General features: G+C 47.4%; 2 protein-coding genes, 1 non-coding gene and 1 pseudogene across 5 annotated transcripts in view, besides 9 other annotated features; 1 reads left to right on the top strand and 3 right to left on the bottom strand.

Moving 5' to 3' along the window:
- Positions 1–7,480, bottom strand: part of CASP8AP2 (caspase 8 associated protein 2) — a gene marked incomplete in the record, with an annotated part of 44,557 nt that extends 37,077 nt beyond the window's left edge. Inside the window, 1 exon segment of one of the 3 annotated variants that reach the window (NM_012115.4) lies at positions 7,254–7,480. 3 annotated transcript variants of the gene reach the window in all.
- Positions 7,791–7,980: an enhancer, noted in NCBI's record as "active region_24832". NCBI's record gives its function as "activates an Ori minimal core promoter by ATAC-STARR-seq in GM12878 lymphoblastoid cells {active_cell/tissue: GM12878}" and the evidence as "EXISTENCE:reporter gene assay evidence [ECO:0000049][PMID:35858748]".
- Positions 8,081–8,130: a silencer, noted in NCBI's record as "silent region_17396". NCBI's record gives its function as "represses an Ori minimal core promoter by ATAC-STARR-seq in GM12878 lymphoblastoid cells {active_cell/tissue: GM12878}" and the evidence as "EXISTENCE:reporter gene assay evidence [ECO:0000049][PMID:35858748]".
- Positions 13,964–14,065, bottom strand: LOC124901536 (small nucleolar RNA U13). The gene has a single exon (XR_007059967.1). It is a non-coding gene; the product is annotated as a small nucleolar RNA U13 (small nucleolar RNA).
- Positions 16,629–17,248: an enhancer, noted in NCBI's record as "H3K27ac hESC enhancer chr6:90529831-90530450 (GRCh37/hg19 assembly coordinates)". NCBI's record gives its function as "activates a minimal SCP1, AML or CMV promoter by ChIP-STARR-seq in naive H9 embryonic stem cells {active_cell/tissue: H9 hESC(naive)}" and the evidence as "EXISTENCE:reporter gene assay evidence [ECO:0000049][PMID:30033119]".
- Positions 17,249–17,868: an enhancer, noted in NCBI's record as "NANOG-H3K27ac-H3K4me1 hESC enhancer chr6:90529211-90529830 (GRCh37/hg19 assembly coordinates)". NCBI's record gives its function as "activates a minimal SCP1, AML or CMV promoter by ChIP-STARR-seq in naive H9 embryonic stem cells {active_cell/tissue: H9 hESC(naive)}" and the evidence as "EXISTENCE:reporter gene assay evidence [ECO:0000049][PMID:30033119]".
- Positions 17,249–17,912: a biological region, named in NCBI's record as "NANOG-H3K27ac-H3K4me1 hESC enhancer GRCh37_chr6:90529211-90529830".
- Positions 17,523–17,912: an enhancer, noted in NCBI's record as "active region_24831". NCBI's record gives its function as "activates an Ori minimal core promoter by ATAC-STARR-seq in GM12878 lymphoblastoid cells {active_cell/tissue: GM12878}" and the evidence as "EXISTENCE:reporter gene assay evidence [ECO:0000049][PMID:35858748]".
- Positions 17,566–25,777, top strand: part of MDN1 (midasin AAA ATPase 1) — a 177,297-nt gene continuing 169,085 nt past the window's right edge. Inside the window, exon 1 of the mRNA NM_014611.3 lies at positions 17,566–17,854. Coding sequence (NP_055426.1) covers positions 17,753–17,854 — 102 coding nt within the window. The 5' untranslated portion in view covers positions 17,566–17,752. The remainder of the gene's footprint in view (positions 17,855–25,777) is intronic.
- Positions 18,489–19,108: an enhancer, noted in NCBI's record as "H3K27ac hESC enhancer chr6:90527971-90528590 (GRCh37/hg19 assembly coordinates)". NCBI's record gives its function as "activates a minimal SCP1, AML or CMV promoter by ChIP-STARR-seq in primed H9 embryonic stem cells {active_cell/tissue: H9 hESC(primed)}" and the evidence as "EXISTENCE:reporter gene assay evidence [ECO:0000049][PMID:30033119]".
- Positions 19,109–19,728: an enhancer, noted in NCBI's record as "OCT4-NANOG-H3K27ac hESC enhancer chr6:90527351-90527970 (GRCh37/hg19 assembly coordinates)". NCBI's record gives its function as "activates a minimal SCP1, AML or CMV promoter by ChIP-STARR-seq in naive and primed H9 embryonic stem cells {active_cell/tissue: H9 hESC(naive and primed)}" and the evidence as "EXISTENCE:reporter gene assay evidence [ECO:0000049][PMID:30033119]".
- Positions 19,729–20,348: an enhancer, noted in NCBI's record as "OCT4-NANOG-H3K27ac hESC enhancer chr6:90526731-90527350 (GRCh37/hg19 assembly coordinates)". NCBI's record gives its function as "activates a minimal SCP1, AML or CMV promoter by ChIP-STARR-seq in naive H9 embryonic stem cells {active_cell/tissue: H9 hESC(naive)}" and the evidence as "EXISTENCE:reporter gene assay evidence [ECO:0000049][PMID:30033119]".
- On the bottom strand, positions 21,246–22,727 carry PIMREGP3 (PIMREG pseudogene 3; annotated as a pseudogene).

Below are 25,777 nucleotides of genomic sequence, written 5' to 3'. Positions count from 1 at the left end.
GGTAGCTCATGCCTAAATCCCAGCACTTTGGGAAGCCTAGGCAGGCGGGCAGATTTGAAGTCAGGAGTTCAAGACCAGTCTGGCTAACACGGTAAAACCCTGTCTCTACTAAAAATAAAAAAAATTAGCCAGGTATGCTGACGCACACCAGTAATCTCAGCTACTTAGGAGGCTCAGGCACAAGAATTGCTTGAGCGTGGGGAAGGCGGAGGTTGAAGTGAGCCGAGATTGTCACACTGCACTCCAGCCTGGGCAACAGAGCAAGACTGTCTCAAAAAAAAAAAAATTAGTGGCTGGGTGCCAGGGCTCAGTGGTTCACACCTGTAATCCCAGCACTTTGTGGGCCCAGCACTTTGTGGGGAGGCCGAGGTGGGTGGATCACTTCAGGCCAGGAGTTCGAGACCAGCCCAGGCAACATGGCGAAATCCCATCTCTACAAAAAATACAAAAATTAGCCAGGCGTGGTGACACACTCCTATAGTCCCAACCATACTTAGGAGGCTGAGGTGGGAGGATTGCTTAAGCACAACCAGGAAGCAGAGATTGCTGTGAGCAAAGATCAAGTCACTGCACTCCAGCCTGAGTGACAGAATGAGACCTTGTCTCAAAACAGACAAACAAACAAATGCTAACATTAATAAACACATTCCTGTAGGTACAAACTCACCAAGTCCAAAACAAGAGATCATCTTTCCATCCATATCTGCTCACCTCCTCATTTCTCTAATTTCTTGGAGTAGCACTAACATTCCCTAACAGACTACTGATTTACTGATGCTACCTCTGAAATATTTCTCCCATTTATTCCCATTCTTGCCATTTCGATTTGTTTCAGGACCCCACTATAGCTACCTAATTATTTCCCCACTCCAAATACATGCTACGCACAACTACTGGGTTAGTTCTACCGCAATCCTGCTCAAAAACTTTCCGTTACTTCCCAATTTCTATAAAGTACAAATTCCTTATCCTGACTGGGTGCAGTGGCTCATGCCTATAATCCCAGCACTTTGGGAGGCCAAGGCAGGTGGATTACGAGGTCAAGAGATCGAGACCATCGTGGCCAACATGGTGAAACCCTACCTCTATTAAAAATACAAAAAAATTAGCTGGGCATGGTGGTGCATGTCTGTAGTCCCAACTGCTGGAGGCTGAGGCAGGAGAATTGCTTGAACCCAGGAAGGGGAGGTTGCAGTGAGCCGAGGTTGTGCCACACAGCTAGACTCCATTAAAAAAAAAAAAAAACTTCCTTATCCTGACATAGACTGACACCTACCATTCTAGCTCCATTATTCACTATCTCAAGGTTTCCAAAATCCCAAGGTTCAATTAAATTAGGCTCACATTGGCGAACACTTCTTGACACGATCTCCCCACATCTGTTCCCCACCACATCTGTCTATAAGTTCACAATCAAGTATGGGTGTGAACACCTACAGAATAGAACATGGGAAGGCAAGATCAGAATGTGAGAATAAAGTTTAGGAAGTCACAGGCCCCGAGGCTGCAGTGAGCCAAGATCGTGCCACTGCACTCCAGCCTAGGTGACAGTGAGACTCTCTCAAAAAAAAAAAAATAAAGGTCAGGGGATGTATTATGTGATTAAGATACTTGGATTCCATCCAGAAGGGAATGGGGGAACCAGTGAAGGTTTTTAAAGTAGGGCAATATAATGATCAAATCTGCATCTTAGATGTTTAACTCTGGCAAGAGTCTGGAAAATATGAGTGGGAAGGGAGATAGAAAAGGCTACCAAAACAAAGCAGAAGACAACGAGGTGTCACTGTAAGTTCTTAGTAGTGGAAATAAAAATAAGAAACAGATCTTGGCTGGGCACGGTGGTTCATGCCTGTAATCCCAACATTCTGGGAGGCTGAGGCAGGAGGACTTCTTATGCCCAGGAGTTCAAGACCAGCCTGGGCAACACAGTGAGACTCCATATCTACAAAAAAAAGAAAAGTTAGCTGGGTGTGGTGGCACATGCTTCCGGAGGCTGCAGTGAGCTGTGATTGCACTGCTGCACTCCAGCCTGGGTCAAAGAGCGAGACTGTCTCAAAACCAAACCAAAAAACCCACAAAACACTAAAAACAGATCTGAGAGGTAGTCAACAAGATTTAATGGAAAGTGTATTCAAATGGACAGTCTTCCCCCATTTCAAATTGTTCTTCAAACCTCAGCATGAGTTGTCTTTTAAAAATGCAAACATGATCGTGTTCCCAACTCTGCTTAAACACTTCAGTGCTTAGGCTGGATGTGGTGGCTCACGCCTGTAATCCTAGCACTTTGGGAGGCTGAGGCAGGCGATCACCTGAGGTGGGTGATCATCTGAGGTCAGGAGATCACCTGAGGTCAGGAGTTCGAGACCAGCCTACGTCATCTCTACTAAAAATACGAAAATTAGCCAGCCGTGGTGGCGCATGCCTATAATTCCAGCTACCTGGAAGGCTGAGGCAGGAGAATTTCTGGAAGCTGGGAGGCGGAGGCTGCAGTTAGCCGAGATCACGCCACTGCACTCCAGTCTGGGGGACAGGAGACTTCGTCTCAAAAGAAAAAAAACAAAAAACAAAAAAAACCCCACCAAAAAGCCCTTCAGTGCTTCCTGCTGATTTCAGGATAAAAAACAAATTTTGAGGCCAGGCGCAGTGGCTCACGCCTGTAATCCCAGCACTTTGGAAAGCCGAGGTGGGCAGATCAACTTTGTTCAGGAGTTCGAGACCAGCCTGGCCAACACGGTGAAACGCCATCTCTACTAAAAATACAAAAATTGGCCAGACATGGTGGCACACACCTGTAATCCCAGCTACTTGGGAGGGTGAGGCAGGAGAATCACTTGAACCTGAAAGGAGGAGGTTGCAGTGAGCCGAGATCATGCCACTGAACTCCAGCCTGGGCAACAAAGAGAGACTCCATCTCAAAAAAAAAAGGAAATATGCACTTTTTTTTTTGAGACAGAGTCTCACTCTGTCACCCAGGCTGGAGGGCAGCGGCACAATCTCTGCTCACTGCAACCTCTGCCCTCCGAGTTCAAGCGATTCTCCTGCCTCAGCCTCCTCAGTAGCTGGGATTACAGGGGCCTGCTGCCGCGCCCAGCTAATTTTTTGTATTTTTAGTAGAGACAGGGTTTCACCATCTTGGCCAGGCTGGTCTTGAACTCCTGACCTTATGATCCACCCGCCTCGGCCTCCCAAAGTGCTGGGATCACAGGCGTGCACTACCGCACCCAGCCCTATATATACACTTTTAATGTGTAACTTTTGTATGCTGAATGGTACTTTTTTTTTTTTTTTGCTTTTGAGGGAATTAATAAGATATAATTAATTGTGTCTTAACTTTTGAAAGAAATTTTTAGATGGAGGCAACTGGGATGTTTGTGATAATAGATAAGAAAGACACCACTGACCTGTAGTTAAATTGGTTTGAATTGCAGATATTCATTATTGAATTTATTCCTGTTTTCTCATACTTTAGAAAAGACACCTGAACAATAAATGAATCCTGGATAGTGTACTGTCCTTCAAACAATGAAGTGATATTAATACTTGCCTGCAGGAGATGCATACTACAGGAGAGAACCCTTAGACTATGTCAGGCCACACTATGAACCTCCCCCCACCTGCCTTTTTTCTCCTTTATGTTTCTGTTACCGTACTAACATTGTGGATTAACGACACTGAAATTCTGCATAATGTGAACAGGATAAACTATTTATAAATCGAAAAAAAAAAAAACAACACAGGGCTTCTGCAGGGAATATTCTTTCCTCAATATTCTACTTTCACTTAGCTCTTCTTTGATATTTTGCTTAAGCCATTTTGAGTCTCCCCTGTCCACCCTCTCTTCCCACTAAGTCAGGCCCTCTGTTATATACTCTTACCCCATTGTGTCCTTTCCCTACATGACCTCTTCTTGAAGTTCATGATTCCATTTTTGTGGGATTCCTGGAGAAATGTCCATCTCACCCAATGGACCACCCAATGGTTCTCCATAAAGATTAGGACCATCCCTGTTCTGTTCCCCAGCTCTCACTGTATCCCCAGCTCTCAGCAGGCCTAGCAGAATGGCAAGTAATAAAAGAATATCTGTTGAATTAAAGAAATACCCAATTTGTTAAAGATGATTCTCATGTTTCTAGCTTTGGAGGACAGTCATGCTTTAACTGCAATGGACAACCAGTGAAGTCATGTTGAGTTATCTGTAGGACATCCAGATAAAGATGTCTAACAGCAGCTGGGGGTGGTGGCTCATGTCTGTAATCCCAGCACTTTGGGAGGCCAAAGCAGGTGGATCACGAGGTCAGGAGTTCAAGACCAGCCTGACCAACATGGTGAAACCCCGTCTCTACTAAAAATACAAAAAAATTAGCTGGGCGTGGTGGTGCGCACCTGTAATCCCACACTCGGGAGGCTGAGGCAGGAGAATCGCTTGAACCTGGGAAGCGGAGGTTGCAGCGAGCCGAGATCGCGCCATTGCACTCCAGCCTGGGCGACAGGGCAAGACTCCATCTCAAAAAGAAAAGAAAAAAAAAAAAGGCCGGGCGTGGTGGCTCATGCCTGTAATCCCAGCACTTTGGGAGGCCGAGGCTGGTGGATCACCTGAGTTCAGGAGTTTGAGACAAGCCTGGCCAACATGGTGAAACCCCATCTCTACTAAAAATACAAAAATTGGCTGGGCGTGGTGGCATGTGCCTATAATCCCAGCTACTCCGGAGGCTGAGACCAGAAGAATCGCTTGAACCTGGGAGGCAGAGGTTGCAGTGAGCTGAGATCGTGCCACTGCATTCCAGCCTGGGAAACAGAGCAAGACTCCGTCTAGGGGAGAAAAAAACAAAAAACAAAAAGATGTCCAACAGCTGGAAATGTCATACAGAAAAGGCATGGTAGGTATTATGATTTGGGACTCATCAGCACCTTAGTGATACGTGAGATTACACTCTTGAAATCATATAGGCCAGTGATTCTCCTGGAAGGAGAGGAAGGAGAGGAGGAAGAAAAATGTATCAGAATCTCTTGGAAAATGGGTCTTTTTCACTTTTCCTCACCTTCTCCCATTTGAGGATCTCGATATATGAGAGTTGCTACCGACAGAAGTGATGCACCTGTGAAAGTGTAGAGGCAAAATTTTCCAAGTTGAGAACTATCATGCTGAAAAAGAGTTTGTATTGGGAGGCCGAGGCAGGCGGATCACCTGAAGTCAGGAGTTCAAAACCAGCCTGGCCAACATGGTGAAACCTCATCTATACTAAAAATACAAAAATTAGCCTGACATGGTGGCACACACTTGTAATCCCAGCTACTGGGGAGGCCGAGGCAGGAGAATCGCTTGAACCTGGGAGGTGGAGGCTGCAGTGATCTGAGATCGTGCCACTGCAACTCCAGCCTGGGTGACAGAGTAAGACTCTGTCTAAAAAAAAAATGTTTGGCCGGGCGTGGTGGCTCAAGCCTGTAATCTCAGTACTCTGGGAGGCTGAGGCGGGCGGATCACAAGGTCAGGAGATCTAGACCATCCTAGCTAACAGGGTGAAACCCGTCTCTACTAAAAATACAAAAAATTAGCCAGGCGTGGTGGCAGGCGCCTGTAGTCCCAGCTACTCGGGAGGCTGTGGCAAGAGGATGACATGAACCCGGGAGGCGGAGCTTGCAGTGAGCCGAGATCGTGCCACTGCACTCCAGCCTGGGTGACAGAGCGAGACTCCGTCTCAAAAAAAAAAAAAAAAAGTTTGTAAGCAGATTTACTCATGCATAATCTTTTCTGGGACAATTCCAATGGATTCAGATGTGAAAGCAAAGTAGACAGGAGAAGGATCACATAGCCTTTCGTTATAGGCAGTCTGAAGGAAGTTTTCTTTTTAAAATTGAGAGAATGTGGCTGGGCGGGGTGGCTCACACTTGTAATCCCAGTACTTTGGGAGGCTGAGGGCAGTCTGATCACTTGAGCCTAGGAGTTCGAGACCAGCCTGGGAAACATGGCAAAACCCAGTCTCTACAAAATACAAAAATTAGCCAGGCATGCTGGTGCACACCTGTAGTTCCAGCTACTTGGAAGGCTGAGGTGGGAGGATTGCTTGAGCACAGGAGGTCAAACCTGTAGTAAGCCGAGATCTTGCCATTGCACTCCAGCCTGGGCTATAGTCTCAAAAAAAAAGGAAAAAAGAAAAAGAAAAATCATTACGAAACTGAGAATGTGTCCTTAATGTAGACGCTAAAAGACAAAAAATAAAATTTAGAGAAAAACACAAGCATTTGTAGAGAAAAACAGGAAAAAGCCAGAGAAGACAGTGTATTTTTACACTCATGGGAAAGGCTAATACAGCAAGACCCCAGAAGAAGAGGTAAGGGGCAAATACTAACAAAAGCTATCATATACGGCACATTTACTATGTTCCAGGCACTAACCTAAATGATCTAAATACATTATTCACTTAGTTTAAATCCTCCCCAGAGTTCTATGAGGTCCATATTATTCTTTTCCCCATTTTACAGATGAGGAAAACACAGACGATCAAGAAATTTGCACAAGGCAACCACCTGGTAAGTGGCAGAGCTGAAATTAGACCCCAGGTCTGTCTGTAAAGCAAGATGGCCAAAATCAAGAATATTCAATACAATATAAATGTTTTTGGAAAGAAGGCCATCTCTTGTAAAACGGAACGCCAGGAAAAGATAATTGGAGGGCATAGCGGGGATAGGAAGGGAGATGGGAGAATCCCTGCCATGAAAGCCTCTGTCCCCCTCCAGTCAAAGAGGCGCTGAGGGAGATGGGGGGGAAAGGCCTTGAGGAGAGGCGAAAGGTTTGCTGCTGGAGGTGTGGAGAATGGAAAAAGACCAAGGAAGAGTCGAAGAGTCAAAGACAACTTGATGCCTGAAGCACAAATGCTCAGCTCCTACGAATCCTACATTCACATCTGAGTTAGGGCCTACTATGTGCTAGGAATGAATCTAGGCGCTGTAGAAATGAAAAACTTATTTAGGCATGTTGGTTTGATGCCTAAATAAACATTTCAGAAACAATCAACATCAATGATCACCTGACACTCCAGGAAACCCATTTCTCCAAAGAACTCCATCCGAAAGATTTTAAGAGTATATTCCAAGGAGAGACTGGATGGTGGGGGGGAGGGGCAGGACGAGAGGCCGAAGGGACAATTCCTGGGCGCGCCCACCCATAGTCCCCGCCCAGACCCTCTCGAAGGACCACAGAGGGACGCAGGGTGCAAGCCCTGAAGCTGCACCGGGGGCGGAGGGAACGTGGCTACCTGCGGCCAGACGTCAGGCGCGGCCCTTCCCCGACCTACTTGGCCGCTCCAGATGGACTCCCTCCGACTCTCTGGTTTCCCAGGGGCAGCCGACCTCCACTCGGGGGACTACCGCGCCATGCAGCCTCTTCCTTAGCAGTCCCTCACGGACCGGGCCCCTACGACAACTTACCCGCCCTGCCCGGCCCAAGACAACCCGGTTCCTTTCTGCCCACCGAGGTCTCCCTGGCATCTCCACCAATACCAGAGCGCTATCAGGGTATGGAGGCGGGACTGAGTGCCTACGGCCAATCATATCAGACGCAAAGCACGTCGCAGCGCCCACAACTAGTTCCCGCCTTTGGAAGGGAAAAAAAAAAACACGGTTGGCGCCAAACTCCAGTAATCTTCCTAGGGCTTTAAGAGAGAGGGGCGGGGTGTAAGGTGGCGGGGAAGGCGATGGGGCGGGGCTTCAATAGGAAGGGGCTGACCTGAGTGGAGGTAGGGGCGTGGCCTGAGAGAAGCTTTTTAGTGAAAGACAGGAAGCCTTGAGAGGTCTGTCATTTATTTAATACTTTATCTTAAAATTCTGCTGTCAGCTGCGTGCGAGACAAAGTGCTGGGCTCGATTACGATGAATAAATTTGTTCCCTGCCCTCAGACGCGTTCCTGGATGATAGGCAGACAAACAACTTAGCTTCGGATGTTGGGAGCCTTAAGGAGGGGATACTAGTCTAGCGGGGCAGGAGAGAGAAGAGCTTTTTACAGGGTGGAATACCTGACTTGCCTTATAGAACCTGTAGGAATGGGGGGTGCCGGTAGGTCTAGCCTCAGGAGCTCAGCCTGAGCATTGATAGGTGCGAAAATAAGGCCACCTTCCTCGGCTACTTATAGTCTGCCTATATTCATCCCTACCCATTTCCTCGTTTGTCCACTTAGCTTTTTTTTTTCTTTTTGCTTTCAGACAGGGTATCGCTTTGTCGCTCAGGCTGGAGCGCAGTGGAGCGATTTCGGCTCCCTGCAACCTCCACCTCCAAGGCTCGAGAGATCCTCCCACCTCTGCCTCCAGAGTAGCTGGGACCATAGACGCGAGCGACCACCACCCCTGGCTGTTTTGTTTCGTTTTGTTTCTGAGATGGAGTTTCACTCTTGTTGCCCAGGCTGGAGTGCAATGGCGCGATCTCGACCCACTACAACCTCCGCCTCCGGGGTTCAAGTGATTCTCCTGCCTCAGTCTCCCGAGTAGCTGGGATTGCAGGCATGTGTTACCACGCCAACCTAATTTTTGTATTTTTAGTAGAGACAGGGTTTCGCCATGTTGACCAGGCTGGTCTTGAACTCCTGTCCTCAGGTGATCTGCCCAGCTTGGCCTCCCAAAGTGCTGGGATTAAAGGCGTGAGCCACCCACGCCCGGCCACCCCTGGCTAATTTTTTAAAATTTTTGTAGAGATGGGGTCTTGCTATGTTGCCCAGGCTGGTCACGAACTTCTGGGCTCAAACAATCCTCCCACCTCAGTCTCCCAAAGTGCTGGGATTACAGGTGTGAGTCACTGCACCTGACCCCATTTAGTCTTAACTGCCATATCAACCAATTTATTTTTATTTTTATTCTTTTTTTTTTTTTTTTGAGACGGAGTTTCACTCTTGTCACCCAGGCTGGAGTGCAGTGGTGTGATCTCAGCTCACTGCAACCTCCGCCTCCGGGGTTCATGCGATTTTCCTGCCTCAGCCTCCCAAATAGCTGGGATTACAGGGGCCTGCCTGGCTAGTTTTTTGCATTTTTAGTAGAGATGGGGTTTCGCCATGTCGGGCAGGCTGGTCTCAAACTCCTGACCTCAGGTGATCTGCCCGCCTCGGCTTTCCAAAGTGCTGGGATTACAGGCGTGAGCCACCGCGCCTGGCTTTATTTTTATTATTTTTTTAGAGACAAGGTCTCAGTCTGTTGTCCTAGCTGGAGTGCAATGGTGTGATCATAGCTTACTGCATCCTCAAACTCCTAGGCTCAAGCAATGCTCCTACCTCAGCCTCCCAGGTAGCTGGGACCACAGGCACACAACACCACACTCGCCTTTCTTTCTTTCATTTTTTTTTTTTTTTTTTAATATAGACAGGGTCTCGCCATGTTGTTGCCCAGGCTCGTCTCCAACTCTTGACCTCAAGCAATCCTCCGACCTCTGCCTTCCAAAGTGCTGGTATTACAGGTATGAGCCACTCCACCTAAGTTATGTATTTTTATTTGCACATATGCATGGCTTTTTTTTAATTAATTAATTAATTAACTTTTTTTTTTTTTTGAGTTGGAGTTTTGTTCTTGTTGCCCAGGCTGGAGTGCAATGGGGCGGTCTCGGCTCACTGCAACCTCCACCTCCCAGGTTCAAGTGATTCTCCTGCCTCAGCCTCCCAAGTAGCTGGGATTACAGGCACCTGCCACCAGGCCTGGCTATGTTTTTTGTATTTTTAGTAGAGATGGGGTTTCACCGTGTTGGCCAGGCTGGTCTCAAACTCCTGACCTCAGGTATTCCGCCCGCCTCGGCCTCCCAAAGTGCTGGGATTACAGGCGTGAGCCACTGTGTCTGGCCGGCTTTAATTTTTTTAATAAGAGCTTTACTGGGATATAATTTACATACTATATAATTCACCCAAATAAGTTGGGTGTGGGAGGGTGTTAGATACACAGTCTGCCTCTGTCACCCAGGCTGGAGTGCAGTAGCACAATCGTAGTTCACTGTAACCTTGAACCCCTGGGCTCAAGAAATCCTCATGCCTGGGCCTCCCAAGGTACTGGAATTACAGATGTGAGCCACTGTGCCTGGCCCCAATTAAACTGTTGAGTTTTCAGCACCATAAGACAGGGTGAGAAAAATAAAAACTAAATTAATTAATTACTTTTTGAGTTTGTATTTTTATAACCTTTCACTTTTGAACCATGTAACTGTTTCACATATTCAAAGACTGAGTTAAATCAGAAAGAAAAAAATCCTAAAATGGAAAATTATTTGAAAAAGTTAAACTGTAAAAAGAGAGAAATGTAACCATAGAGAAAATAATTCCTTGAAGTGACATTTAAACATAGTGCTCTAATTATTGTGAGACAAAGTAAAAAGGGTAAGAAGCCATTTTGCTCATTTCTGCTTGCCATCTAATTTCACAAAGCCCCTCACTCTGTGAGGAAGTGCAGCTCTCTGAAAAGATGCTTTGAAGGCAAACCAGGATAGTGCACACAGCCCCCAACATCTCTTGCCTGAGTCACTATATTGCTTAAAGGAGGAATATGGACGTGCGCAGTGGCTCACGCCTGTAATCCCAGCACTTTGGGAGGCCGAGGAGGGCGGATCACGAGGTCAGGAGATCGAGACCATCCTGGCTAACACGGTGAAACCCCGTCTCTACTAAAAAATACAAAAAATTAGCTGGGCATGGTGGCGGGTGCCTGTAGTCCCAGCTACTAGGGAGGCTGAGGCAGGAGAATGGCGTGAACCCGGGAAGGGGAGCTTGCAGTGAGCCGAGATCGCACCACTGCACTCCAGCCTGGGGAACAAATCGAGACTCCGTCTCAAAAAAAAAAAAAAAAAGAAAGGAAAGGAGGAATATAGTGCCTTTTCCTACACATGAGATAACGTCTGATAGGGTTAGTGATTATGCCTCTGAAATCTATAACTAGATGTACTCCTGCACCAAAACTTTAATGTGATTTTGCACATACTGAACCTCCACCACAGGTATATAAACAGTGGGCTGAAATACTGTGCTGCAGCAGTCTGACAGAACTCTGAAGGACAGCTCCTGGGCTGTAGACCTCAGTCTATAGTCCTCGGTACGACTATAGACTGAATAAAACTAACATTTTTTTTGAGCTGGAGTCTGGCTCTGTCCCCAGGCTGGAGTGCATGATCTCAGCTCACTGCAATGTCTGCCTCCCAGGTTCAAGCAATTCTTATGCCTCAGCCTCTTCAGTAGCTAGGATTACAGGCGTGCACCACTATGCCCAGCTAATTTTTGTATTTTTAGTGGAGACTAAAATACAACATGGTGAAACTCTGTCTCTACTAAAAATACAAAATTTGCCGGGTGTGGTGACGCATGCCTGTAATCCCAGGTACTCGGGAGGCTGAGGCTTAAAACATAAACTTTCTCAGTGGATTTATTGACACAGATAACAGTCTGTTAAGTGAAAAAAGTTGTCTTGGAGTAGCTCTCTTCCTGGTACAGATAGCTTTACTAACAGAAATTTCCTTTGTGAGTATAAATTTCCTTTGCAAAAGGGTAAGTTTATACTTTATTTTAGGCAATTGGGGAGGTAAAGACGTTTCACTGAGTTGGCTGGTTCTGATTTTTCTTTACTTCAAAATAATCAGTATGTCAAAATGGTCTGTTTCGGGGTTGCACGTTCTGAACCTCTTTAACTTAATCAACAAGCAAAAATTTCTTACAGTTCTAGAGGCTGGGAGATCCAAGATCAAGGAGCCAGCAGATTTATTGTCTGGTGAGGGCTCCCTTCCTGGCTTGTAGATGGCCACCTTCTTAGTGTATCCTCCCTTGGCAGAGAGAGAAGGGACTCTAGTCTTTCCCTCCCATTATAAGGGCAATAATCCTATTATGAGGACTCTATCCTCAAAACCTCATCTAAATCTAATTACCTCCAAAAGGTCTCACTTCCAAATACCATCACACTGGGGTATTAAGACTTCAACATACGAATTTTGGAGGTTCACAAACATTTAAATCATTTTGCCATTTCTTATAATTCACAGTTTCCCCTCCCATACTTTTTTCTTAAATTTATGTCTTGAAAAACCTGAGTTTTTGATCTGTAGAATCTTTCACAGTCTGAGTTTTTCTGATTATAAATTCATGGTGCAGCTTAACATATTCTATCATCTTCATTTTAAAAAATCGACAGCTGGGGCCAGGCACAGTGGCTCACACCTGTAATCCCAGCACTTTGGGAGGCTGAGGCTGGCGGATCACTTGAGGCAAGGAGTTTGAGACCAGCCTGGTCCAACATGGTGGAACCCTGTCTCTACTAAAAATACAAAAATTAGCCAGGTGTGGTGGTAGAAGCCTGTAATCCCAGCTACTTGGGAGGCCGAAGCAGGAGAATCGCTTGAACCCAGGAGTTGGAGGTCACAGTGAGCTGAGATTGCGCCACTGTACTTCCAGGCTAGGTGACAGAGCAAGGCTCCATCACCCCCCCCAAAAAAAAAAATTGACAGCTGGATCAGAGGTTTGATCCTTTTGGTAAGACTATAGGTAGCATTATGTTCTTTCAGCAAGAGCTATCTAAAGTCTGGTTTTTTTTGCCCCTTTTGCTATGTTAGCAGCCATTGATACTTAATGCCAAGATTAATGGATTAACTGGGAGTTGCAAAATAGTGGTATTCTAATTTTGTCAATTCTTTTTTTTTTTTTTTTTTTTTTGAGACAGTCTCGCTTTGTTCCCCAGGCTGGAGTGCAGTGGCACGATCTCTGCTCAGTGCAAGCTCCGCCTCCCAGATTCATGCTATTCTCCTGCCTCAGCCTCCCAAGTAGCAGGGACTACAGGCGCCCACCACCACGCCCGGCTAATTTTTTGTATTTTTAGTAGAGACGGGGTTTCACTGTGTTAGCCAGGATGGTCTAGATCTCCTGACCTCGTGATCTGCCCTCCTCGGCCTCCCAAAGTGCTGGGATTACAGGCGTGAGCCACCACACTGGCAATTCTTTTTCAAATTAGGTGGACTATTCTCAGGAAGAGACACTTGTCATCATCTTCTATTTAGTTACCCAGTGGTACAATTCACATATGAGAGGCAGGATACATTTTTATATTTCTCCCTTTATCAGCTTTCAAGATTGACTTCTTACTCTCCAAAGGCAACAAATTTTTAAAATTATTAGTATTATATTAATGGGTTAAACTAATAGGTTTTGATTCATTATAACTGCTATCTTTATTAAAGCTCAGATTGTATCATCTTTGGTCAATGGTAGCATCTACAAGTTGATACCCAAGTTCTCTTTACATGACACTCATAATTTTTTTCAAAAATATTAATTTTCAGAGGTCACCAATGGCCGTTGGGTGGGCACCACCAGCAGAGAAAGTAGCGTAAGACTTAAGACAACTTAACACATTTAAGACCAGGCATAGTGGCTCATGCCTATAATCCCAGCACTTTGGGAGGCCAAGGCTGGAGGATTGTTTGAGCCCAGGAGCGGGAGACCAGCCTGGGCAACATACTGAGACCTTGTCTACTAAAAAAAAAAAAAAAGAAGAAGAGCTGGGTGTGGTGGTGCATGCCTGTAATCCGTGCACTTTGGGAGTCCGAGGTGGGAGGATTACTTGAAGTCAGGAGTTTGAGACCAGCCTGGCCAACATGGTGAAACCCTGTCTCTACTAAAAAATACAAAAAATTAGCCAGGTGTGGTGGTGCACGCCTGTAATCCCAGCTACTCCAGAGACTACAGAGGATGAGGCAGGAGAATTGCTTGAATCCAGGAGGGAGAGGTTGCAGTAAGCCAAGATCATACCACTTCACTCCAGCCTGGGTGACAGAGTGAGACTCTAACTCAAAAAAAAAAAAAAAAAAAAAAAAAAATTTGGGTGTGGTAGCAGGTTCCTGTAGTCCTAGCTGCTCAGGAAGATTGCTTGGGCCCAGGGGTTCAAGGTTACATTGAGCTATGATTGCACCAGTGCACTCTAGCCTGGGTGAGAGAATAAGACCCTGTTTCTAAAATATATACATATTTTTATATCAGACAGGTAATATGCTGAGGTCATAACATGGTTTGAGGGAGGCACATATTACACGTGTGCAAAAACCCAATCATCATGCTTATGAACTATAAAAGGATCAAAGATACTATTTTTTTAGTGCAAAATTTCAAACATACACAAAAGTAAAAGAAGAGTACAATAGGCTAGGCGCGGTGGCTTACCTCTGTAATCCCAGCACTTTGGGAGGTCGAGGCGGGTGGATTACCTGAGGTCAGGAGTTCGAGACAAGCCTGGCCAACGTGGTGAAACCCTGTCTCTACTTAAAATACAAAAGAAAAAATTAGCCGGGTGTGTGGTGGAGCGTGCCTGTACTCCCAGCTACTCGGGAGGTTGAGGCAGGAGAATCGCTTGAACCCAGGAGGTGGAGGTTGCAGTGAGCTGAGATTGTGTCACTGCACTCTAGTCTGGGTGACAAAGCGAGACTCCGTCCCAAAAAAAAAAGAAAGAAGAGAAAAGAAGAATACAATAAACTCCTATTACCCAATATCTGGTTTCAATAATTACTAATACACTGTCAACCTTATTTCATCTATACTATATATGCTCTATTCCTTCCTTATCATCATTTTTTTTAATTATTATTTTGAGACAGAATCTCGTTCTGTCACCCAGGCTGGAGTGCGATGGTGGGATCTCGACTCACTGCAACCTCCACCTCCCAGGTTCAGGCGATTCTTCTGCCTCAGCCTCCCGAGTAGCTAGGATTACAGGCGCTTGCCACTGCACCTGGCTAATTTATATATATATATATATTTTTGTTGTTGTTGTTGTTTTTGAGACGGAGTCTCACTCTGTTGCCCAGGTGGGAGTGCAGTGGCACGATCTTGGCTCACCGCAACCTCTGCCTCCTGGGTTCAAGTGATTCTCCTGCCTCAGCCTCCCAAATAGCTGGGACTACAGGCACGTGCCACCACGCCCGGCTAATTTTTGTATTTTTAGTAGAGATGGGGTTTCACCATGTTGGCCAGGCTGGTCTCGAACTCCTGACCTCAGGTGATCTGCCCGCCTTGGCCTGCCAAAGTGCTGGGATTACAGGTGTGAGCCACCGTGCCCGGCCAATTTTTGTATTTTTAGTAGAGATGGGGTTTCACCATCTTGGCCAGGCTGGTCTTGAACTCCTGACCTTGTGATCCACCCGACTCAGCCTCCCAAAGTGCTGAGATTACAGGCTTGAGCCACTGTGCCCTGCCCAGTCTTAGATTTTTATTACCCCCAAATTTTGCCTCCTGGCTGTTTACATTGTCTTCTCTTCTAATCCCAAACTCAGGCAACCACTAACCTGTTCTATTAATTTAATCACCCTAGAGCTGTTCATCTTCCTGCTGCTGCCCAGATGAAAGTTCCGGGATTTCCCTTAACTTTAAACACTTAAAAGTAAAATAATCCCGTGGATTAGGATTACGATCGACAGGGTTATTTTACTTTTTCTTTCTGTGCTAAATCTCTTATTTCCTGGATCCCGTGTCGTCTTCTTTCTTGGTTTTATCCTCCTTTTTCAGGGCGCATCTCTTTCAACAGATTCCTGAGAATAGTTGCCAGGGTGCATTATCACTACATAACTACATTTTTTTTTTTGTCTTTTTCTTTTTTTTGAGACAGAGTTTCGCTCTTGTCGCCCAGGCTGGAGTGCACTGGCACGATGTCCGCTCACTGCAACCTCCGCCTCCCGGGCTCGAGCTATTCTCCTGCCTCAGCCTCCTGAGTAGGTGGGATTACAGGCGCCCACCACTATGCCCAGCTTTTTGTATTTTTAGTAGAGACAAGGTTTCACCATGTTGGCCAGACTGGTCTCAAACTCCCGACCTCGGGTGATCTGCCCGCCTTGGCCTCCCAAAGTGCTGGGATTACAGGCGTGAGCCACCACGCCTGGCCCCACTTAAAAAAAAAAAAAAAAGACGGAGTTTCGCTCTTGTTGCCTAGGCTGGAGTGCAATCCCACGATCTCGGCTCACCACAACCTCCGTCTCCTGAGTTCAAGCGATTCTCCTGCTTCAGCCTCCTGAGTAGCTGGGATTACAGGCATGCACCACCACACCTGGCTAATTTTTGTATTTTTAGTAGAGACAGGGTTTTACCATGTTGGTCAGGCTGGTCTCAAACTGCTGACCTCAGGTGATCTGCCCGCCTCGGCCTCCCAAAGTGCTGGGATTACAGGCGTGAGCCAAGGCACCCAGCCCTAATTTTTGTATTTTTAGTAGAGACAGGGTTTCACCATGTTGGCCAGACTGGTCTCCAACTCCTTATCTCGTGATCTGCCTGCCTTGCCTTGAGCCACTGCGCCCAGCCCACAAGTGCACTTTTAATGTTATGGACTCTACTATTTTTTATGACTTCCAGAATATGCTATAACTTACACCCCATAGTTTAATATTCCCAATTGAACATTTTCTTCCAATATCTGTATTAAGAAAACTGCAAGGGGTGTCTTTGTCACACTTAGTGAGGATTTCCGCAGGCTAGAGTCCTACAAGGGGAATTGCTGGGGCAGAATGTTAACTAGTTAGGTATGAGCAGAACAGGAGAGCGCTCCCCACCCCACACATACCAGGACTATTGGGTGACAATCAAACGATGGTCAGGCGGTTCTTAACTGTTTCTCTAACGTTCACCGGGGCCAGCGAAAGGCAGTCTCCTAATAGAAAACACCTGAAACTGATCAGTAGCTTCCCAGTAAGATCTCAGGAGTGGGGAGAAGCAATGCAAGTTCCCCAAAGTATGCCAACATATAAAACTTCAAGTCAACAGGTCAAGCTGCGCACTTGGTTTCTCAAGTCGCCTGCTTGGCAGTCTTCCAAGTTGTACTTTCCTCCTTTTCTTTCCGTCCCGTTCTAAAGCTTTTTGATAAACTTTTACTTCTATTCTGAAACTTGTCTAGGTCTATCCTGCCTTATGCCCTTCGTGGAATTATTTCTTCTGAGGAGGCAAGAACTAAGGTTACTGCTGACCCCTACCTATACAGGGGGTAACTGCCACCGCTAACAAGAAGGGGAGAATCAGCTTTTCTTTCTTTTTTTGAGACAGTAAAAGTCTGCTGTGTCGCGCGGCTGGAGTGCAGCTGCACGATCTCGGCTTACTGTAACCTCCGTCTCCCGGGTTCAAGCGATTCTCCTGCCTCAGCCTCCCGAGTAGCTGGGACTACAGGCGCGCGCCACCACGCCCGGCTAATTTTTGTATTTTTAGTAGAGAAGGGGGTTTCACCATGTTGCCCAGGCTGGTCTCGAACTGCTAACCTCAAGTGATCTGCCCTCCTCGGCCTCCCAAAATGCTGGGATAAAGACATGCGCCACCGCGCCCGGCCGAGAATCAGCTTTTCTCTCACATCTGATCTTTCCGTGTGTTAAGGCAGAAGCAAGGCACGGTGGGCTGAGACTCACACGCCCCCTCTTTCCTCCCCGGCCTAACGCACTCTTCTTTCTGTCCCACCACGTGCTGTGTTCGCGAGTCCCCATCACTCCTGCATCCAAACCGACTAGATTTTTGTTTCCATTTCCCTCCCGGAAAAGGCGGGACAGCGAAGACTGGCGTTTCCGCCGCTGAGGGGCTGAGGCCGGGAGGGCGCAGCGTAGCCGTCCCGAGCTGATGACGTCAAACGCCGTGTGCTCACCCACGTGTGGTGCCCCTCTCCCGGTGTAGGCGCTGGAGCTGAGGACGCCTTTCCTGCGGGCGTAGTTGCTGGCTGCTCGGGCACTGGGACCTCGGCGGCTTGGGGACGCTGGCCGCGAAGTAGGGAGCGCAGGTGGCCGCTCGGGGTGAGGGCCCTGGGTCATGGAGCACTTCTTGCTGGAGGTGGCAGCCGCGCCGCTGCGGTTAATCGCAGCCAAGAACGAGAAGAGCCGCAGTGAGTTGGGCAGGTTCTTGGCCAAGCAGGTAAGACGTGAAGGGAGAGGGAAAGCGCCGGAACGACTGGGTCGCCCCACTAGTAAGCTTCCTGCGCTCCCCCGCCGATACTCGCCGCTTTAAGTGGGGAGTGGTGCAGCCTCAGGTCAAGCTGGCCCCCTCCTGTGGGCTGGCGCAGGTCGTGGAGGTTTCCGAGCGTGTTTGAGGCGATTGGAAGGAGTCTTTTGTTTTTATCTGGGGGAGCCTTCCAGTACCCTTCCCATCGCCTCTCACCCCTATGCAAGCGCTTTGGCTGCTTGTGGCAGAGGTGGCCTTCCCAAAGGAATGTGGTTTGTTTTTCTGAAATTGAGGTTGCGTTTCTGCCGTTTTGACAAGTGTACGTATCACCTAAGTGTGCGTAGTGCAGCCACTCCTGTTAGTTTGGGGAACCATCGACAAATACTGATTGCATTCCTGCTGTGCGTAAGGAACGGTGTGGCGCTGTGAGAAAGTGGATAGATAAATTCGTTACGATCTCTGCCATGAGGGAAATTTGCATCTGTTTTTGGAGACAGTTCGTAAACACTTACAACAGCTGAAGTACAGAGCAAGACAGCTCATACTCACTGTAACTAACTATACAAATTATAAGGTTAATTAGAGTTTTCTGGGAAATAGGTCTTCGGGCTTTTAAGAACCTTCTCATTGACTCCTTCTATCTGAGTTGAAGACACTTTTTTTTTTTTTTTGAGACGGAGTCTCGCTGTGTCGCCAGGCTGGAGTGCAGTGGCGCGATCTCGGCTTACTGCACCCTCCGCCTCCCGGGTTCAGGCGATTCTCCTGCCTCACCCTCTCAGTAGCTGGGATTACAGGCGAGCGCCACCATGCCTAGCTACTTTTTGTATTTTTAGTAGAGACGGGGTTTCACCATGTTGGCCAGGATGGTCTCGATCTCTTGACCTCGTGATCCACCCGCCTCAGCCTCCCAAAGTGCTGGGATTACAGGCGTGAGCCACGGGACAGGTGAGTGTGGTCCCAGGTACTTGGGTCCCAGGTGTGGCTAATTAAAAAAAAAATTTTTTTTTTGTAGTTGTAAGGTCCCCCTTTGTTGCCCCGACTGGTCTGGAACCCCTGGGCTCAAGTGATCATCCCGCCTTGGCCTCCCAAAGTGCAGGGATTGTAGGAGTGAGCCACCGTGTCCGGCCTAAATTTTTTTTTTTTTTTTTTTTTTTTTTTGAGACGGAGGCACGCTCTGTCGTCCAGACTGGAGTGCAATGGCCCACCCTCTCAGCTCACTGCAACCTCCGCCTCTCGAGTTCAAGCGATTCTTCTGTCTCAACCTCCCGAGTAACTGGGATTACAGGCGTGCGCCACCATGCCTGGCTAATATTTTGTATTTTTAGTAGAGACAGGGTTTCACTGTGTGGGTCAGGCTGGTCTCAAACCCCTGATCTCAGGTGATCCACCCGCCTTGGCCTCCTAAAGTGCTGGGATTACAGGCATGAGCCACAGCGCCCTGCCCTGAAGTATTTTTTTTGATGTATCTCAAGCCCAATTGTTCTGGGGAGTGGGGCCAATTTTGCTCCCAGGGACAAATCTGGAGACCTTTATGGTTATCACAACTATTCATTATGGGGGTGCTACTAGCATCTAGTGCATCAAGGCCAGGGACGCTGCTAAGCATTCTGTTATGTATGGGACAACCCCTTACAACAGTTATCCGTCGTAAATGGCAGTGGTGCAAAATTAAGAAAGAAACCCTGCCCCAGACTGGTTGTTTACTTTCTGCTCAGGGCTTGCTATTTCAGCAACACTAAACTGCCTGCAATGACCACAGGTTGTTACCCTCTACTATTGTTGACTGGAGTCACCTCCCGTTGTTAATGTCTGTTGTTATTGTCTGGGCCATTCCTTGCTGTTACTTGCCTCATTGACTTTGCATTTCCTTTCCTTAGAAGGCTACATCTCTCTTCTATGCCCTGCTCAGTTAACTTGTTTGTTCTGGAAGACTGCTTTTGAAATGGTCTTCCCCAGGAAGACTTTTCTGACTTTACCCTTTCCTCTTCCTCTTAATCTTTGTTTCAACTAACTGATTCTCAGTAGTTGATTGAGAGTATGTCCAGAGAAGGGGATTGTGTAGCTGTAGTGTCCAATACAGTGTCTGATATGCAGTAGGCAGTAAATGTTTATTGACTGTATTAACAGATTAAGGTACTCCCAAATTGTGATACTTTTGTCAATGAAAAGTGTCAAACTCTAAAATATTCTAAGAGATTTATTCTGAGCTAAATGTGAGTGACCATGGCTCATGACACAGCCCCAGGAGATCCTGAGAAAATGTGCCCAAGGTGGTCGGGCTACAGCTTGGTTTTATACATTTTAGGGAGACCTAAGCCATCACTCAGTACATGTAAGATGTACATTGATTTGGTCTGGAAAGCTGGGACAACTCGAAGGGTGAGGGGGGCGGTCTTCCAAGTCACAGGTGGATTCAAAGATTTGCTGACTGGCAATTGGGTGAGAGTTCATTTAAATCCCTGGAATCAGTAGAATGGAGTGTCTAGGTTAAGATAGGGGTGTGGAGGCTGGGCACAGTGGCACGCGCCTGTAATCCCAGCACTTTGGGAGGCTGAGGCGGGTGGATCACAAGCTCAGGAGATCGACATCATTCTGGCTAACATGGTGAAACCCTGTCTTTACTAAAAATATGAAAAATTAGCTGGGCATGGTGGCGGGCACCTGTAGTCCCAGCTACTCAGGTGGCTGAGGCAGGAGAATGGCGTGAACCCGGGAGGTGGAACTTGCAGTGAGCTGAGATCGCACCACTGCACTCCAGCGTGGGTGACAGAGCGAGACTCTGTCTCAAAAAAAAAAAAAAAAAAAGATAGGGGTGTGGAGACCAAGGTTCATATTATGCAAATGAAGCCTCCAGGTAACAGGTTTCAGAGAGAACAGATTGCAAATGTTTCTTTTTTTAAAATTTTTATTATTTTTTAAAGAGATAGGATCTTGCTTTGTTGTCCAGGCTGGTCTAGAACTCCTAGGCTCAAGTGATCCACCTACCTCAGCCTCCCAAAGTGCTGGGATTATAAGCCTAGCCTGTAAATGATTTTTTTTTTTCCCCCAAATGCAGTCTCCTCACCCCCGCCCCTAGACGGAGATGGAGTCTTGCTCTGTCACCCAGGCTGGACTGCAGCGGCGCGATCTCAACTCACTGCAACCTCTGCCCCCTGGGTTCAAGCAGTTCTCCTGCCTCAGCCTCTCGAGTAGCCGGGATTACAGGCACCTGCCACTGCGCCTGGCTAATTTTTGTATTTTTAGTAGAGACGGGGTTTCACCATGTTAGCCAGGCTGGTCTCGAACTCCTGACCTCAGGTGATCCACCCGCGTCGGCCTCCCAAAGTCCTGGGATTACAGGTGTGAGCCGCTGCGCCCAGCCACAAAACAGTCTTTATTATGAGAAAGCAGTGTTATCTAGTCTTTATTATAAGAAAGCAATGCTATCTGGTTTCTTTCTAATAAAATAAAAGCAGTTTTCTTAAATAATTTACAAAGGGCAGAAATTGCTCTTGAACAGGGCTACCCCTCCTGGCACACCCACAGTGCTCTGCCTTGAACATATAAATAGGTACCTGTGAGCCCAGGGTTTAAGCCTGGAACTATCTCCTATGCCTTCCTCCAGGTCCCTGGTAGGGAAAGCAGGGATGAGAGTGGTGCCCCCAAGGGCCTTGGCACTGGAAACACAGTGGGCGAGTGACTCTGTGGATGACTCCCCAAAAACCAAGCACCTGGTTTGAGTTCAGAGCTCTCAAACATCTGATGCCAGCTCTTCACATTGTAGATGAAGCAAATACCAGGCTCAAGGTCAAGTATACGATGCATTACTAAACCCAAGAGTCCCCTTGGGGAGTAGAAGGAACAATTCTCCCCACCTCTGCAAGATCTCCCCAAGACACTCTCAGGCTGTGGCAGGCAGTCACTGATGGGTCCAGATGTGGCTGGAGCAGGGGGGCTCTGGGCTCCTTGCTAGTCAGGTCTTTGTTAGCAGTGGCCCAGGGGTACTGATGACTCCTGGGAGCTTCCGCCAGGAAGCTCATGGGGAAGCACAGACATTCTGGGGTACGAAGCCTTGGTGGTCAGACAGGGCTTGTTTCCTGCAGGGCACTTCCTCAGTCATGAATGAGAGTGTCATTTCACCACTCTCTTCCGCCATAATGGCTTCATCCAGCTCTTGGGACAGCTTCTGGAGATGCCGAATTCCTGCTCCCCATAGGTGCTAGGTCACTATCAGATGCGCTGGGAGAGCAGAGGAGCTCTGTCAAGGAGTAGGGGCTCTGGAAGGCAGTCTCCCGCCTCCACTGCCGTAGAGGGTAGGCACGTGAGCCTGTCCAGGTAGAGAGGTGGTGATGCACAGGGGTCTGTAGCTGAGTGGTCAGGGGCAGCTCCATACAGCTGAATCCTCTTCTGGCTCAGGCTGTGAGTTGGGGAGACACTGCTCTCCCTTTTGTACCCCTTTCTTCCTCCTCCTGGCCTTCACCTGGGTCTCCACCAGACACTTGGTGCTACTTTGGCAGGACTCCTGGATTCTCTGTGACATGGCACCCAGGGTGCTCTTAGCTGAGCGAGCTGCAGCCTGGAGTCTCTTACTGCCCTGACCCTGGTTTCTAGGGGTTTCTAGGAGGTACCTGTCCGGAGGTTGAGGTTGACGGCTCTTAGGGGCAGCCTTCTTTGGAACTGTCTGCACAGAGAACCCAGGGCCCTGGCGGAGATCTCCCAATGGCTAACCATAGGCTGCCGCTCCTTGCTGTCCAGCGGCTGCTCCTGGTGCTGGAGAGATCTCCGGTGCATGGAGGCCCTCGCATCCTGCCACTGAGAAACCATCTGTCTGGCCAAGAGTCTACTCTGCCCACTAGACCTCAACACCCCCAACATGTGCCTGAAGCCGAGCACTGTAAATGTTAAATGTTTCTTATAAGACTTAAAGAGACAACTTTGCAGGGCCATTTCAAAATTTGTCAAAGCTATATATTTTGGGCCAGATGTGGTGGTTCATGCCTGTCATCACAGCACTGTTGGAGGCTGAGGGAGGAGGATTGTTTGGACCCAGGAGTTTGAGACCAGCTTGGGCAACATAGCAGAGAGACTCTGTCTCTACCAAAAAAAAAAAAAAAAGGAGGGGGATTAAAGAACACCTGAAATACTTCTTTCAGGGTTTGCTGTCTGTCATATTTGTATCTTATTGCTACTAGTAATCTGTTTTGTCAGTCCTAAGGTCTCTGTTTTAATGTTAATGCTGGTTAGCTGTGCCAGAATTCTGAAGGGAAGAGAGTATAATGAGGCGTGTCTGACCACCCATTCCCAGCATGGCCTGAACTAGTGTTTCAGGTTTACTTTAGAATGCACTTGACTGAATGGAGAAGGATTCACCTTCATTCAGTTGGTTGGGGGGGCTTAGAATTTTATTTTTGGTTTATGCTTTCTTTTTTATTTTTTAAGACAGGATCTGGAGAGCAGTAGCCTTGACATCCTAGGTTCAACTGATCATCTTACTTTAGGACCCTCCCCATCCCCTCCAGTAGCTGGAACTATAGGCATGCCACCGCGTCTGGCTAATTTTTTTTTTTTTTTTTTTAAATCTTAGGTAGAAACAAGGTCTTGCTGTGTTGCCTAGGCTGGTCTCAAACTCCTGGGCTCAAGCAGTCCTCCCACCTTGGCCACCCAAAATGCTGGAATTACAGGCATACTTACTTAGTTTTGGCAGAACATAGCTTTAACTTTCAGTGTTTTAAGCAAATGATGAGAGTGATGATGCTTTAATGCTTCCCCTGCCCGAAACAGTGTCTCCTTTTATTGCCTGGGCTAGCGTACAGTGATCATAGCTCACTTCAGCCTTGACCTCCTGGGCTCAAATGGTCCTCCCACCTCATCCTTCTGAGTAGCTGGGACAACAGGTGCACAATACCATGCCTGGCTAATTTCTTTCTTTTTTGTTTTTTTTTTTTTTTTTGAGACAGAGTCTGCTCTGTCACCCAGGCTGGAGTGCAATGGCATGATCTTGGCTCACTTCAACCTCCGCCTCCTGGGTTCAAGCAATTCTCCTGTTTCAGCCTCCCAAGTAGCTGGGATTACAGGCACCTGGCACCATGCCCAGCTAATTTTTTGTATTTTTAGTAGAGATGGGGTTTTGCCATGTTGGCCAGGCTGCTTTTGAACTCCTGAACTCAGGTGATCCTCCTGCCTCGGTCTCCCGAAGTGCTGGGATTACAGGCATGAGCCACGGCGCCCAGCCTTGCCTGGCTAATTTCTAAAAAAAATTTTGTGGCCGGGCACGATGGCTCAGGCCTGTACCAGCACTTTGGGAGGCCGAGGTGGGCAGATCACCTGTGGTTGGGAGTTCGAGACCAGCCTGACCAACATGGAGAAACCCCTTCTCTACTAAAGATACGAAATTAGCCGGGCGTGGTGGCGCATGCCTATAATCCCAGCTACTGGGGAGGCTGAGGCAGGAGAATCTCTTGAACCTGGGAGGCAGAGGTTGTGGTGAGCCGAGATCGCGCCATTGCACTCCAGCCTGGGCAACAACAATGAAACTCCGTCTCAAAAAAAAAAAAAAATTTTTGTAGAGATGGGGAGTCTCACTTTGTTGCCCAGGCTGGTCTTGAACTCTTGGGCTCAAGCTATCCTCCCACCTTGGCCTACCAAAGTGTTGGGATTGCAGGTAGGAGCCACCGCACCCAGCCTAATTGCTTAGGTTTTATAGAGTAGTTTAGGAATTGTTTCTCTTTAGCTGAAAATACACATTTCAGCCGATACATGTAATTATAAATAATAACACTGAGGTTATCCTTTTAATTAACTCTGCTTTGAGAAGGGCTAACTGATCAGTTAGCAGTTGCCTTATCCTTTTAATTAACTCTGCTTTGAGAAGGGCTAACTGATCAGTTAGCAGTTGAATATGACAGTGTAGTAATTTCATTACTCAAAACAGTAAAAACTCAATATGTTAAGCATACAGACATACAAATATGAAGACTTTTTTTCCTTTTCTATTTTTGTTGGCTAATTATTGGGAAATTGATGAATTTTGTTATAGCAAAGGAACGGAATTGGTTAGTATTTTTGGTGGGAAGAGAAGAGCTGAGCCACCTTAAAAATATTTTTTCCTGGCCGGGTGCAGTGGCTGAGCTCAGACAATCTACCTGCCTCGGCCTCCCAAAGTGCTGGGATTATAGGTGTGAGTAACCACACCCGGCCAATAAAAATGTTTTTTCTTGGCTGGGCGCGGTGGCTCACGCCTGTAATCCCAGCACTTTAGGGGGCCAAGGTGGGCGAATCACGAGGTCAGGAGTTTGAGACCAGCCTGGCCAACATAGTGAAACCCCGTCTCTACTAAAAATACAAAAATTAGCCGGGTGTGGTGGCGCATGCCTGTAATCCCAGCTACTCGGGAGGCTGAGGCAGGAGAATTGCTTGAACCCGGAAGGCGGAGGTTGCATGAACCGAGATCAGGGCACTGCACTCCAGCCAGGGCAATAGAGCGAGACTCCATCTCAGAAAAAAAAAAAAAGTTTTTTCTTGTATTTGTTAAGTAATCAGTATTCTTCAGCTTTCCTCATACTTGCTTGTATCCCAGCTACCTAAATAAAACCCATTTAAGCTTCACAGAATGTTAAGAGAAGTGAGAAAATACAAAGGTGTAGCCAGGAGGAATGCAGTCCTTTCCCTTTTCCAGTGGGTCCCAGTCTCCCAAGAAGAAAGGCAGGATTTCCTAAGAATGTTATGGGAGTAATCACAGGTTTAAGAAGTAAATCCTGGCTGGTTGCGGTGGCTCACACCTATAATCCCAGCACTTTGGGAGGCTGAGGTGGGCAGATCACGAGGTCAAGATATTGAGACCATCCTGGCCAATATGGTGAAACCCCATCTCTACTAAAAATACAAAAATTAGCTGGGCGTGGTGGCACACTCCTGTAG

Source organism: Homo sapiens, chromosome 6 (assembly GCF_000001405.40).
Source record: "Homo sapiens chromosome 6, GRCh38.p14 Primary Assembly".
Taxonomy (NCBI): domain Eukaryota; kingdom Metazoa; phylum Chordata; class Mammalia; order Primates; family Hominidae; genus Homo; species Homo sapiens.
This window is presented reverse-complemented; position numbering and strand designations above follow the sequence as displayed.